The 15954-nt window shown below is 40.9% G+C and overlaps 1 protein-coding gene across 6 annotated transcripts in view; it reads right to left on the bottom strand.

The window, feature by feature from the left end:
* Nucleotides 1-15954, bottom strand: part of BLM (BLM RecQ like helicase) — a 98821-nt gene that overhangs the window by 14615 nt on the left and 68252 nt on the right. For all 6 annotated transcript variants that reach the window (NM_001287246.2, NM_001287248.2, NM_000057.4 and 3 more), the window contains 3 exons: nucleotides 10708-10903; nucleotides 7195-7385; nucleotides 3215-3362 (listed from right to left, as the gene is read on the bottom strand). In NM_001287246.2, coding sequence (NP_001274175.1) covers nucleotides 3215-3362; nucleotides 7195-7385; nucleotides 10708-10903 — 535 coding nt within the window. The remainder of the gene's footprint in view (nucleotides 1-3214; nucleotides 3363-7194; nucleotides 7386-10707; nucleotides 10904-15954) is intronic.

The following is a 15954-nucleotide window of genomic DNA, read 5'->3' as shown; positions in this document are numbered from 1 at the left end:
GTTTTATTCTTCTCTGAATTTTGCTAGTTATATGATACTGTTGGGTCATGTACTAATTATGTTTCTAACTTTCAATAGAACTTCTGACCACTACCCCTTCCCACATGTGAGATGTCATTAGTACCCAAGCCTTCCCTGTATGCCTTCTTTTACTTTTAGCGATTGTACTTTTACTTTTATATCATCAATATTAACATTTACATCTTGTTCTGTCCTGTAACCTTGTTTAGGTCTGTATGTTGATTTCAATCGTTGTTTACATGATGACAAATTTCCTTCCCTAATTGGAACAATGTCATGACTCTTATGGAACCAAAAGGAGAATGTTTACCCATCATGTCAAATGGATGACTTTTTTGTACATTTTACCAACTTTTTTTTTTTTTACAACTTTTTTTTTTTTGAGATGGAGTCTTGCTCTGTCACCCAGGCTGGAGTGCAGTGGTGCGATCTTAGCTCACTGCAACCTCCGCCTCCCAGATTCAAGTGATTCTTCTGCCTCGGCCTCCTGCGTAGCTGGGATTACAGGTGCACAACATCAGTCCCGGCTAATTTTTGTATTTTTTTGTAGAGATGAGGTTTTGCCATGTTGGCCAGGCTGGTCTCAAACTCCTGACCTCAAGTGAACCACCCACTTTGGCCTCCCAAAGTACTGGGATTACAGGCATGAGCCACTGTGCCTGGCCACAACTTCCTTTGTTTTATATTTGATCTTGCTCTCTTGTATAATCTTTTCCCTGGAGTTTCTAAGGGCCTCTCTCCTTTTTTTTGGTTGAGAAGTAACATTTGCATTCTTCACTGTTATCAATAAAACCATTCCTTTCTTACTCTCTCTCTACGTTGGGTGGGCCCTGTTCCTTCTTTTTTTTTTGAGATGGAGTTTCACTCTTGTTGCCCACGCTGGAGTGCAATGGCACGATCTTGGCTCACTGCAACCTCTGCCTCCCGGGTTCAAGCAATTCTCCTGCCTCAGCCTCCCGACTAGCTGGGATTACTGGTGTGTGCCACCACGCCCAGCTTATTTTGTATTTTTAGTAGAGACGGAGTTTCTCCATGTTGGTCAGGCTGGCCTCGAACTCCTGACCTTGTGATCCGCCCGCCTCAGCCTCCCAAAGTGCTGGGATTACAGGCGTGAGCCACCGTGCCCAGCCTCCTCCTGACTTTTGTTAGTCTGCATAGATTGCTTACTGGCCCTGCTGCCTGACTGTGACTATGGGTTTTCTTCACTGGACCCATGGGTGGGTTCCACCACTTATCAAATCACGACCTGTGCTCACTTTCTTTGCCTGCTAGTCTCCAGGATTGCTGATATTAAGCTGATGTCAGTCTGGTTTGGGTTCCTGTTTTCTTTCCAGAGCTTTCAGAATTGTCTCTGAAGGGGTCCAGAATATGCCACTGTGGCATAAAAATTATTTTGAGCAGAAGGCATCTGAAATCTCTTATCTGCCAAAAAGCAGGGCCTCCCAAAAGAACTCAGTTGTCATAAATTGCCTCCCTGGGAAAAACCAGGGAAGGCTGACCCTTTTAAACAGAGATAAGACTTCACACCACACTTAAACAGACATTGTCATAAAAACTTTGTATCTCCCATCTGGTCTCCTAACAGTCCATCTGTCTTTCCTAACAGTCATTTGTTTTTCCATAAGTGCCCCCCTCCTTCTCCCCTTCCTCTATTAAGATGGTATATAAGCCCCACATTCTAACTGCCCCTTTGAACCACATTTTTCTGTGAACTCCTATCCACACATGACTAAATCTGTCTTTTCCCTTGCTAATCTGTTTTTTGTTGGTTTAATTTGCAGGCCCCATCACTGAACCTAAGAGGGTTGAGGAAAAGTTTTTCCTCTTTGACATGTCTTTAACTCTTAGTATTCTCAAATCTCGTGGCCATATGTCTTAATTTTTTTTTTTTTTTTTTTTTTTTTACAGGCATCTTATTTGGCATTCAGTGAGCATTTTAATCCAAAACTTTTATCTCTTCCACTCTAGGAAGTTTTCCTAGATCATTGGTTTGATAATTCCCTTTATTTTCTATTTCCAAAATTTTTGTCAGATTTTACATCTACTGAGGATTAATCCTTTCTATGCTTTCTCTATTTTCCATATATCATTTTGATCAGTTCCTAAATTTTCTTGACTTTATTTTCCAACCTCTCCACTAAATTTACTTTGTCAATCATTTAAAATTGACAGCTCTTTCTCATTTTTATTTCTTTTCCATTATTCAATTATTATTTAAGTATTTATTTTAAAAACTCTTTAAGACGATACTAAGGAGTCTTCTCTCCCCTCTCTCCCAAACTACTATTTTCAATTATTTCTATCACCCAGGGTCAAATATTCTATTTATTTGGTCTTCCTCTTTACTGTCCATTTCTTTCTTTTTTTGAGATGGAGTCTCACTCTGTTGCCAGGCTGGAGTGCAGTGGCGTGACCTCGGCTCACTGCAACCTCCACCTCCCAGGTTCAAGCGATTCTCCTGCCTCAGCCTCCCGAGTAGCTGGGATTACAGGTGCCCACCACCACACCTGGCTAATTTTTGTGTGTGTTTGTTTATTTATTATTTTTGAGACACAGTTTCACTCTTGTTGCCCAGGCTGGAGTGCAATGGTGCGATCTCAGCTCACTGCAGTCTTCACTTCCCGGGTTCTAGCGATTCTCCTGCCTCAGCCTCCCGAGTAGCTGGGATTACAGGTGCATGCCACCATGCCTGGCTAATTTTTTGTATTTTTAGTAGAGACAGGGTTTCACCATGTTGGCCAGGCTGATCTCAAACTCCTGATCTCAGGTGATCCGCCCGCCTCGGCCTCCCAAAGTGCTGGGATTACAGGTGTGAGCCACTGTGCTCAGCCCCTGAGAGATTTTTAAGGCACTAATCTGATAATAGTCTCTCTCCTATTCTCTATGCTGTTATGGGTCTAATCCTCATTTTATTTCCTTACTGACATTTTAATAGTTACATTCCACCCACTCAGATGAACTCGCATAAGCTTTATTATTTTCTTCTTTGTATGTGAAACCATCTCAACTTAGTGACATATACATTATATAAAACAGTATAATAATTGACTTTCTTTTGTTACTTAAAAGTTTTATTCAGAAACTCAAGTTTTATAAGAAAATAGACAAAAAGTTTTTCTATGTACTTGTAATAAATTCTTTAGATGTTCAATTTCAATTGAAGTAACTCAAACATTCAAAACAGATGACTTACCCAAGAAAATGTCGACCAGCATATTCATAGTAAATCTTCCAGAAGGACCTACATGTTTTATATTTCTCATTCCTTGTGATGAACTATGTTCTTGAACAAATCTTACAATACTTTTCACATCGTCAGTCACATCTCTTGTTTTATAATCCTATGAATAAAAAGAGAATACTTTCTGCTATAATTAAGGTAACAATGCCTAGATTACTAGGGTTTAATATTAACTATAGTAGATTCATCATAACCCATTTCCAGACCAATACCGAGACCAAAACCTACGGAAATTTCAAATGTTCATTCTTATCTAAGTTCTAGAACAACTACCACTCGATGTTGTTACTGTTTCACAGAGATACGTCTTGTCTTTCAACTACCTGATAGCACTCTGTGGGTAGAAACACATATATAACACACAGACACACACACAAACACACAATTTAAATCCTCCATGCCTCCTAGAATAGTGCTCTGTTACATACTGGGTGGGAACCTGTGGGGTGCCACGTAAATCCACGGATTCTAACCCCTCTGGGGTCTTTGGTGCCATAGTCAACGCTCTTTTCATCATCTCCTGCTAGTTTCCTTTCTCATTTCCTTCAGCTATCCCCAAACTTTGCCCACTTTTTAGAGTCCCCGTTACTAGATGACTTTTTGCCTTTCTCTCCCCTAGTTCTCTCTACCATCAATACTGACCACTCACAGGTGTAAAAAGCTGCATCATGCTTGGTGCTTCTGTGTATGCAGCCCTCCCTACCTTCTAATCCTTGTCATTTGCACACACCAATAACCTGGAGATGAACAGGTTTCTGGTCTTACACTAACAACTGCAAGTGATTCTGAGGCCCTATCTAGAGTCATCAAGAAAAAGTGCCCTGTCACTCCATTCCTATCTTAATTTTTTTTTTTTTTTTTTTTTTTTTTTTTTTGAGATGGAGTTTCGCTCGTCGCCCAGGCTGGAGTGCGATGGCGCAATCTTGGCTCCCTGCAACCTCCACCTCCCAGGTTCAAGCGATTCTCCTGCCTCAGCCTCCTGAGTAGCTGGGGTTACAGGCACCTGCCACCATGCCCGACTAATTTGTCTGTATTTTTAGTAGAGATGGGGTTTCACCACGTTGGCCAGGCTAGTCTTTAACTCCTGACCTCAGGTGATCCGCCGGCCTCAGCCTCCCAAAGTGCTGGGATTACAGGTGTGAGCCACTGCACCTGGCCATCTACCTTAATTCTTGGTGATTAGGTATACAGAGCTGATCCTCTTACTTTGGTCTTTTGGTTCTTGATCTCCTCTGCTCCAATGATCCTGTCCTCCACATACATCAGCCGCTCACACTTCCTACCTTAAGCTTACTAATAATGGCAACTCCTCCATTCTCAGACCACCACATCCTATCTTTCCAACTCATACCATGTGGTATTCTGACTCCAACAATCCCCTGGGAATGCCCATCTGCTGATCCTCAACCTCAGATGTCCTCCTAACTCAGCTGAAATTCCAGTCGATCATTATAATCACTACCTCTCATAGACCCTCAGCTCTCTTGCCCTTAGATCACTTCAACATATTACCTGGCAAAACATAATGGATCCAATTCTCCATCTCCATAGGTCCCTGTACCTATGTGGCTGAACTTGGCATTTTCACTGTCACTACGTGGCCACAAAGCTCGAATGGACTGTTAATGCTGTAGGCAATCATTATCTTTATACTTCCCTAGCCTATCATTCCTCCATTCTCTCACAACAGAAGTCAGCAAACTATGGCCCAGGAGCTGGATGCCTGTTTTTGTGCATAAAGTTTTATTGGAACACAGCCATGGAAGATGACTAGAAAATTGGTGTATTTATTATTTATGTCTGCATTTAGACTACAATGGCAAAGCTGTGAGTCGTTGTGACAGAGACTATGGCTGCGAAGTGTACAATATTTATGCTGTGGCCCTTTAAAAGCAAGTTTACTGACCCCTGTCCTAGACAACTATTTCATACTTTCTCCTTTCTCTTCCGTCCCTTCTCTTATCCCGACTGTCAGCTGATGGCCATGCTTTAAATATCACCCATGTGCCACCAGTCTGTTTTCAGAATTTTTGAATCTTAATATGTAATTCAATATTAGATTCCCAATTTAGGTAACCCAAACCAAACTCCTGATCTTCTCTGCCAACCAGCCTTCTGCATCTTAGCCAAGGATAACTCCATCCTTCCAGTTACTCAGGCCTCCAGTTACTCTGGGACTCTAGCCCTCAACTGACTGCTCTGGCTCTCCATCACCTCTTCCCCTCACTGGCTCTTAATCCTGCTCAGCCACATGGGCTCCCTTGCCATCTCTCGAACACACCAGGCACACCCCCACCTTAGGGCCTTTGCTCTAGCCAAAGCTTCTTGCAGGAAAGCTCACATCCAGGGAGCTGCCAGCTAACTCCCTTCTTCAAGATTTTCCTCAGCTCCCATCTTCTCAGTTAGACTTCCAAGGACCACCCCGTCTAATACTGCATCCTGCACTCTACCCATTCCTCCTGTCTTTTTACTCTGCTGTGCCATTCACCACAGCTCTTATCCTTTCATGTATATTTATTGTGTATATTGTTTGTAACTGGCCTCCCTCTGCTAGAGTGTAAGCTCCACAAGGGCAGGGATTTTCATTTTGTTTAGTGATGTATCCCAAATTCCTACAACAGTGCCTGTTACACAGCCCAACAAATATCTGTTGAATGAGGGAACTGATAGCAATGTTTAAGGGATGGGGTGGGGTGGGAGGAGATGGCATGAATTTGCCAGTTCCACACTGAGAGAGACTACCCTCTGTTCTGCCCTGTGCTCTGTATTTTTTAACTATACTTACTGAGAGTACTAAACTTTTTTTTTTTTGATGGAGTTTCGCTCTTGTTGCCCAGGCTGGAGTGCAATGGCATGATCTTGGCTCACTGCAGCCTCCACCTACCAGGTTCAAGCGATTCTCCTGCCTCAGCTTCCCAAGTAGCTGGGATTACAGGCATGGGCCACCACAGCCGACCAATTTTGTATTTTTTTAGTAGAGACAAGGTTTCACCATGTTGGTCAAGCTGGTCTTGAACTCTTGACCTCAGGTGATCCTCCTGCCTCGGCCTCCCAAAGTGCTGGGATTACAGGCATGAGCCACTGCGCCAAGCCAGAGTGTTAAACTTCTATGAACACATGTATGTCGGTCTCCACTCCAGTCTATGAATTGGTCCATACCATGGTCACTTGTGGCTCTCCAGCATCTTGCACATATAAGTCTAATACTCCCAGATAGGTAAATAATACACCAAACGTGAAAATGCTCAGTAAGCAGTAGGTTACAGTAGACATTAAAATGTAGAATTACCAAGATAGGTAAAATAAGTACCTAATGACTGAATTTAACAACCTTCCAAGGGTATTTTAGGACAGATAATAGTGAATTTATCCACAAGCAGTTACTGTTATTCTTTATAGTTAAAAAAAAAGAGTAATGTAATTGATTTGAATTCAAACATACGGTACACTAGTTATTACTCTTTTGAGAATGAGATTTTTAGTATATTAATTAAATATTTAAAATATTAAATATTAATACGTCAATTTTAATATATTTAATTTAATCAATTAAATTTTTAATATAATGTATTATATTAATAACATTAATATATTAAATTTAAAATATTCTACCTGCCCATGTTGGATCTTTTTGGATGTTTGCATATTAATATTTCTAAAATATTCTGTAATCATCAGTGCACATATATAAACTCAATATTCTGGATATGCTGATGTCCATTATATTTTTTAACAGGGTTCTAATTATAAAGAAAAGATACCGCATGAAATTACTTTTTAAATGTTTCCATTCCAAATTACTACTGGAAGGAAGCTGTCTTTCCCCTGTTAATCTGTCGGAGACCACCTTTTGCAATCTAATTTGTATCTACATTTTTAAAGTAAGAGAAAAAAAATTTAATTATAAAGAATTTTAAAACTTCTTTTTTTACCTTTGTTTTACAGCAATTATCACAAGAAACATCTGGGTGTTTCTTACAAAAATCAGGATTAAATCCATTTTCACCAAAGTAGGCCAAAAGCTGTATTCTCCTGCATTCCGTTATATTTTCACAGTAATGTACCATGCTATACAAATTATTGAAGTGAGTTTCTCTTGTATGATGGTTTCCATCTTTTTCCACTAAAAGAGATGAAGACTATAGTAAGACATACTTATAGGGGAAAAATAGAGCATATCATAGAAATATTTAGAATAGATTCATATAACTTTAAATATTAAATAAGAAAATTACTGTTAACAGCATTGTCAACATGGCATTCTATATTATAATTAACTGAGTATTAATGTTCATCCTCAAGATTTTAGTACTATAGGAATAAATGTTAGGTTTTTTTTTTTCAAATCTTCATTATCCCCAATGATGATGGTTTGACTTATATTTGCTGTATTTATCAGTCGAGCATCCACCGAACTGAACATCCTGAGGAAGCAGAGCCTGAGATTACGGCAGTGGCCATGCACTTCTCTGAGTATCTGAGGTCAAAGTAGTTACACCAGTGGTTCCAAAATTGTGTGCCAACAAGCCCGGGGGTGCTGTGGTGAACTCACAGAGACAGAATATTTTACATGAAGGGAAACACAGCAATGCCTAACATCTGTTGAACATCACCCAAATTATTAGCTTGAGGTAGTTAATGGTATTAACATTAGATTGTGCTACATTCCTATTAGCAATATCTCATCTTTGCAAAGCTGGGTTTTTCGCAGTTGCTATGATAAAAAGAAGTATCTCAAGAAAATCAATGTGAAACAGGAAATGAGGGTGGCAGTGTCGGATTTGATTCCAATGTGTGAGAACAGCAGTGGCATACTTTCCATCAGTAAGCAACTGTTGTTACTTAAGAATTTTAACACCAGGTACGGTGGCTCACGCCTGTAATCCTAGCACTTTGGGAGGCCAAGGTGGGCGGATCACCTGAGGTCGGGAGCTTGAGACCAGCCTGGCCAACATGGCAAAACCCTGTCTCTGCTAAGAATACAAAAATTAGCTGGGTGTGGTGGTGCGAGCCTGTAATCCCTGCTAGTCGGGAGGCTGAGGCTGAGAATCGCTTGAACCCAGGAGGTGGAGGTTGTAGTGAGCTGAGATCGTGCCATCACACTCCAGCCTGGGTGACAAAAGCGCAACTCCGTCTCAAAAAAAAAAAAAAGAAAATAATTTTTAAAAAATATTATTTTTTTCTTCCAGTTTATGAGTATTTTTCCCCCAAATAGTTGCTGCTATCAGGACTTAAATATCTATTAAATTGTTTGGGCCTAAATTTTTTTTTTTTTTGGCCTCGGCCTCCCAAAGTGCTGGGATTACAGGTGTGAGCCACCATGCCTGGCCATGTTTGGGCCTAGCTTTAATATAGATTTTAAAAAAAACACAAATGGGCAAACCAAGTGTAAATATTTAATTTTCTTCACTGAGAATCACTTTGGTATAGTGCAAGGAACATGGACTTTGGAATCAGACGAACTTGGGTTCTGTCAGGGCTCTACCATTTACTAGTTCTGCATTTCATTTTCCTCCTCTGTAAAATGAGGAAAGCAAAGGTTTTATCTCTGAGGGTTATTGTGAAGATGAAATTAGTTGATGATACATGTAAGGCATTTAGAATGGCACATAGGAAGGGCTAAATAAACACTTATCTATAATAATTACCATTGTTATACTACTACTACAACGACTCTTATTGCTCCTGCCATATCAGTGATCCTGGGGAAAAGTTACAAAACCTTTCCGAAGCTCACTTTTTATGGGAGTACCTCTACATCACAAGTTAGTTGTTTTGAACAAATAAGGTAATGAGGTGATATATGCAGTGTTGGGCACAGTGCTTGGTAAGTGCCATTTCCTATGCACTGTACTTCTGCCAGAGTTAATTTAAAAGTGGTCTCGGCTGGGCATAGTGGCTCACGCCTGTAATCCCAGAACTTTGGGAGGCTGAGGCGGACAGATCACTGGAGGTCAGGAGTTCAAGACCAGCCTGGCCAACATGGTGAAACCCTGTCTCTACTAAAAATACAAAAATTAGCTGGGTGTGGTGGTGGGAGCCTGTAATCCCAGCTACTCAGGAGGCTGAGGCAGGAGAACTGCTTGCATCTGGGAGGCAGAGGTTGCAGTGGGCCGAGATCGTGCCATTGCATTCCAGCCTTTGCACTTCAGCCTAGGCAACAAGAGCGAGACTCCGTCTCAAAAAAAAAAAAAAGAAAAAAAAAAGTGGTCTCAGAAGAAATACATATATTTAGGAAATATATTTAACTCTCACAACCCAGGAGAAAAATGAGCAAAGAATGTAATAAAATTCTAAAATATGTATTCACTTTCACCCAGCAAGTTTAACTCTAGAAATTTATCCTATAAGGCCGGGCGTGGTGGCTCACACCTGTAATCCCAACACTTTGGGAGGCTGAGGTGGGCGGATCACCTGAGGTCAGGAGTTTGAGACCAGCCTGGACACCATGGTGAAATCCCTGTCTCTACTAAAAATACAAAAATTAGTTGGGCATGGTAGCACATGCCTGTAGTCCCAGCTACTCTGGAAGCTGAAGTGAGAAAATCGCTTGAACCCGGGAGGCGGAGGTTGCAGTGAGCCAAGATTCTGCCACTGCACTGCAGCCTGGGTGACAGAGTGAGACTCGGTCTTGAAAAAAAAAAAATCTTATATAAGTAACTGCAAAAATGCCCAAAGATATTTGTATAGGGAGGGATGTTCAATACTGCATTGTTGATAACAGTGAAAAACAATAAACAAGATCTAGTAAGAGGGGATTAGTTTAATAACCATGGAATAACCATACTACGGAATTCTAGGTAGTCAGGCTGTATGTATTCATTGGAATGATAATTACATCCTACTGTTGACTGAAAAAAATCGGGTCATTATATATATAAAGTATGTATAATATAATCCCATTTACATTTTAAAATATGTGCATTTGGAAAAGGTACATACCAAATACAAGATATTTGCCTGCCTCTAATGGGAGAGGACGGATGAGACAAGAGAGGCTATGGGGTGGTGGGGAGGGGTTCAGCTCGATTGATTGTGTTTTATTTCTTAATCCAGATGGTAGTATATGACAGCTCATTATTTTCTCCTTTTTATCTTCCTGCATGTTTGAAATATGTGTTACATGCAAGAATGCATGCAGAAATAGGGTCTGAAAGGATACAAAGGAAACCAATAACTAGAGTTATTTTGGGGGCAAAACTACAAGGCATGGTTTGTAAATTTTCTGCCTTGTACACATCTGTATCATTTGAGTTTTACAAAATAAGCACTTACCACTTTTATAATAAAAATGAACTAAAATAAAATTGCCAATCTGTATAAACTCCTCTATTTTTCTACGATTATTTAAGGAAAACTGGACCAGAAGTACCACAATAGCAGGAGTAGACTACTATCATGAGGCTGAAGATGACAGAATGTCTCTACAATGGAGCCCAGCTTACTCATTATAAGTCTTTTCAGTCTGGTCACATCATGATAGGTATAGAAAAGCAGGCAGTGAGATATTTCCCCATCTCTTCCAGCTCTGCCAGATTCTTGGTAGTAACCCTCCACAGATTTAGGGAGAGATGCATGAATCACAAATCGCACGTCCGGTTTGTCAATCCCCATTCCAAATGCAATTGTAGCACAGATAACCTGATATAAAAGCAAAAGCTTATTAGATTCATAAGGCACAGACTTGAAGGAACATTTTCATAATAGATGCTTCTAAAAGCTCTATCATTTGTTTTACTTTAAAATGCACACTACATAACAACCTAATATCTTAACTTGGTCCAACTATTTAGTATAACTAATATGAGTTTTTATACTGATAACTTGCAATGCCATTAAAACCCAAGAAGGTAAAGAGAAGCTCAGCATGGCAGGCACTTTCTTGTATGACTTGGCATTCTCATGTAAGAGAGCCAGAATCAACTGCAGTCAGCCCACGATGTGCTGCCACTGTTCTCTGTTTTTGCTACTGAGGTGTGGGGGGTGTTGCTCACACAGTCATGATATCCAGGTCAGTGATCACAAGCAACGTGTTGCTCAGGAGCTCCAGGGTGTTCCCAGGGCTCCTCAGAGGTCACTGCTGCTAGTTCCTCCAATGGTTCAGGAACAATACGTTCTTACCTGCTCCACTGCTTATCATCAGTTTTCCCAATAGCACCAGCTGATCACACATCAACTCCTTCTATTCATCAGCTGATTTAAAGTCAAAGCTTGTACAATTTTAATGGAAACTCATGTGGGTAAAAGTCTGAGAGCTACTTATACCAAAAAAAAAAAAAAAAAAAAAAAAAAAAAAAAAAAACACCAGGGACTGCGGATCTTAGACCTTACAAATTACTTAGTGGAAGCAAGGTGATAGTTCACTCTCAGGAGCTTGATAAATCAGTTTTCAAGGATATCCATTTCAGTTGAGAATTTAGGAGCTATTTAACCCAGACCAAAATGTTATATCTCCAGGCAAAATTACACTTCACAAATAAAACTGCAAGTTTTTTTTTAGCACTTAAAAAAATGAATTGCTACTGCAAGAACAGTATTTCAAAGGCATCTGAAATATCTGGCAGGCAGACTGAGACTAATGACATGATTTCAGTAACTGTGAGTACCAGCGGAAGGAACTGCAAGCTCTGGAGTATGTGGACAGTAAAGGGGTACATTTATCAACACCAGGAATGGCGGTGAGTGGCCTGCGCTCTCGGTTAGTCATCCATCTACATTTATGGCACTCTGATCAAAGGCAAATCTCCTTGGAAACAGAAAGACTATTGTAGCTTCTAGTGATGGAGAGCAGGTGGAGAAGCTGCACAGCAAGATGTGTCAGCCGACAGGTCCGGAAGCATGACCCACAGGGTTCCATGAAGTCCAGGTGCATCTCCCAGTATCAGGGCGGGCACAGGGCTGTGAGGCACCGCCTGCAGCCTCCAGATGAGGATGCAAGGCTGCCAACTCTTTCTGAAAGCTCTTATTTCTTGAAATTGGGAAAAGTGGCTTTGTTTAATTGTGATTTCCTTCTTTATTTCTGCGCTTTTAAAACTTCAAGCCACAATCATTCTTTGTGAAGAATAATGGCCAAGTTTTATTCTATCTCATGAATCTAACGAGATCAAGTCTGTCGAGCTGGTGTAGGCTAATATTACATGCTGACTGTAAGGATTAATTAGTCTGAGAGCAGAAATAATTAGGTTTTTATAAACCCCTATTGTTTAACCATATTTTTTATCAAAGTTATATATATATATATATATATCTCCATTGTAGATTATTTATACTATACATAACCATTTAAAGCACTTGAAAAAAATCATTTTTTTTTTTTTTTGAGACAGTCTCGGTCTGTTGCCCAGGCTGGAATGCAGTGGCGTGATTTTGGCTCACTGCAACCTCCACCTCCAGGGTTCAAGCTATTCTCCTGCCTCAGACTCCCGAGAAGCTGGGACTACAGGTGTGCACCAGCATGCCAGGCTAATTTTTGTATTTTTTGTAGAGATGGGGTTTCGCCATGTTGCCTGGGCTGGTCTTGAACTCCTAGGCTCAAGTGATCTTCCCACCTTGGCCTCCCAAAGTGCTGGGATTACAGGTGTGAACCACCATGCCTGGCCCTTTCATGCAAACTTTTTCCTTATCATGTATTGTTTTTACATGTTTTCCTGTTCCACTGATCTGCCTATAATGTACTGCAAACTAGTGTTCCTGTATTATTAGGTTTTTTGCCAAACTCTCTTAGTTATTTTCACTTGAATATTCTTCCAGGCAAACTTTAGAAAAAGTTTATCAAAGGGAAAAGAACAAAAAACCAAAAAAAAAAAAAAAAAAAAAAACAAAACACTGGCATTTGGGTTAAATATATAAACTAATTTGGGAAGACTAAAATCAGTATTTCAGTGAAGACAAATGAGTGATGTATTTCTAAACTTTTTGCATATCTGAAAATGACCTTTTGTTGGTTTCAACATAAATGACAGTGAGCTGGGTACGAAATTCTTCAGTCCCAGTCTTCCTTCTTCCAATTCTGAAGACAGTCTTCTATTATTTTTGTTATATATTTGTTATGTATTTATTTATAACACACTTATCTGTTTCAATTATCCTGCTTTCTTGCTTGGGTACACTTACTATTCTTAGGCTGAATCCTTACCTCCTTTTGTCAACAAAGATAATTTCCACCCCACCCCATTTTAATCTCTTTTTTCCCTTGCATTCTCAAGCTACTCACTACATCACTGATTCTATTGTCTCCACTGAGACTGAGTCATTCCATTTGTGTCTTAATATATAATTCTGCTCTTAGTTTTGTTTTTCTTACTTGGATAAGCTGAATTTTTCTTTCTTTTTTTTTTTTTGACATAGAGTCTTGTTCTGTTTCCCAGGCTGGAGTACAGTGGCACGATCTCGGCTCACTGCAACCTTCGGCTCCCAGGTTCAAGTGATTCCCCTGCCTCAGCCTCCTGAGTAGCTGGGACTACAGATGCCCATCACCACGTCCGGCTAATTTTTGTATTTTTAGTAGAGACAGGGTTTCACCATATTGGCCAGGCTGGTCTCAAACTCCTTGATCTCAGGTGATCCGTCCACATCGGCCTCTCAAAGTGGTGGGATTACAGGGGTGAGCCACTGCACCTGGCCATAAACTGGATTTTTATTTCTCCCTTCATCTCACCCTGTGATCTTATGGAAGTTGTTACTAGTTCACGTATATTAAGTCTTCTTATATCTTTCTCGGGATACTAAACTGATATCCTCTAAAATTTTCTGTTTTCCCAGAGAAAACAATTTTGAGAGATATTTTTCCTCTGAATCTTCAAAGTAAATACTTTTTCCTGAGCTGAAACTTTTCATTGGCTCCAAGTAATTATTAGTTGTTTTGCTGAAATTCATCCTTTCATTTAGAGGGATCTATCCAAGGCTGGCATTTACCACAATAAGAGATGCCTAAAGTAGGCTGGGTGCGGTGGCTCACGCCTGTAATCCCAGCATTTTGGGAGGCCGAGGCGGGCGGATCACGAGGTCAGGAGATCGAGACCCTCCTGGCTAACGTGGTGAAACCCTCGTCTCTACTAAACATACAAAAAAAAATTAGCCGGGCGTGGTGGCGGGTGCCTATAGTCCCAGCTACTCGGGAGGCTGAGGCAGGAGAATGGCGTGAACCCGAGAGGCGGAGCTTGCAGTGAGCTGAGATCGCGCCACTGCACTCCAGCCTGGGCGACAGAGTGAGACTCCCGTCTCAAAAAAAAAAAAAAAAAAAAAAAAAAAAAAGAGATGCCTAAAGTATTTTCAGCTTTCCTCCCCACCCACCTGGGTGACGGCAAATTTCTCATCTCGGAAACAGATGCCCAATATTGTTAGTTACTAGGGAAATGCAAATCAAAACCACAAAGAGGGCCAGGCGTGGTGGCTCACACCTGTCATCCCAGCACTTTGGGGGGCTGAGGTGGGCGGATCATGAGGTCAGGAGTTCACGACCAGCCTGGCCAATATGGTGAAACCCTGTCTCTACTAAAAATACAAAAATAAGCTGGGTGTGGTGGCATGTGCCTATAGTCCCGGCTACTTGGGAGGCTGAGGCAGGAGAATTGCTTGAACCAGGAGGCGGAAGTTCCAGTGAGCCAAGATTGCGCCACTGCACTCCAGCCTGGGTGACGTGAATTCCTTGCTTGAATTATTCACGTGTGTGGTCTTCCATGTAAATAAAAAAAAACCCACAAAGAGATACCATTTCCCACACACAAGGATGAATACATTAAAAAAGCTGGACAATAAAAAATATTGGTGAAGACGTGGAGACACTGGCACCTCATACATTGCTGGTGAGAATGCAGAACTGCAGAGCCACTTTGAAAAGCAGTTTCACAGTTCCTCTAAAAGTTAAACAAAGAGTTGCCATTTGACCCAGCAAGTCCACTCCCAGGTGTCTACCCAAGAGAACTGAAAACATATGTCCGTGGAAAAACTTGTACGTGAATGCTCACAAAGCCATTATTCATAGTAGCCAAGAAGTAGAAACACATCGGGGATGGTGGCTCACACCTATAATCGCAGGAATTTGGTAGGTTGAGGCAGGATTATCACTTGAGCCCAGGAGTTCAAGACCAGGCTGGGCAACACAGGGAGACCTCGTCTATACAAAAAATAAAAAAATTAGCCAGGCATAGTGGTGCGCCTGTCGTCCTAGCTACTTGGGAAGTGGGAGGATTGTTTGAGGTACGGTCTGCAGTGAGCAGAGATCATGCCATTGCACTCTAGCCTGAATGAAAGAGTAAGACCCTGTCTCAAAAAAAAAAAAAAAAAAAAAAAGAAAGAAACGAAACAAGCCAAATGTCTAACCAGCTGATGAGTAGATAAACAAACTGTGTTATATCCATATAACAGAATATTATCTGACCATAAAAAGGTATGAAGTACTCATATATCCTAAAATATGGATAAATCTTGAAAAAATTATGCTAAATAAAAGCAAACAGGCCAGGCGAGGTGGCTCATGCCTATAATCCCAGCACTTTGGGAGGCTGAGGCAGGTGGATCACTTGAGGCCAGGAGTTCGAGACCAGTTTGAGTCTCCACTAAAAATATTAAATACAAAAATCAGCTGGCCATGGTGGCGCACATCTGTAATCCCATCTACTCAGGAGGCTGAGGCAGGAGAATCACTTGAACCTGGGAGGCGGAGGTTGCAGTAAGCGAAGATCTCTCTACTG

The sequence above is a fragment of the Homo sapiens genome, chromosome 15 (genome assembly GCF_000001405.40).
Source record: "Homo sapiens chromosome 15, GRCh38.p14 Primary Assembly".
NCBI lineage: Eukaryota > Metazoa > Chordata > Mammalia > Primates > Hominidae > Homo > Homo sapiens.
Note: the sequence above shows the minus strand (reverse complement) of the source record. Positions and strands in the feature narration are given on the sequence as shown.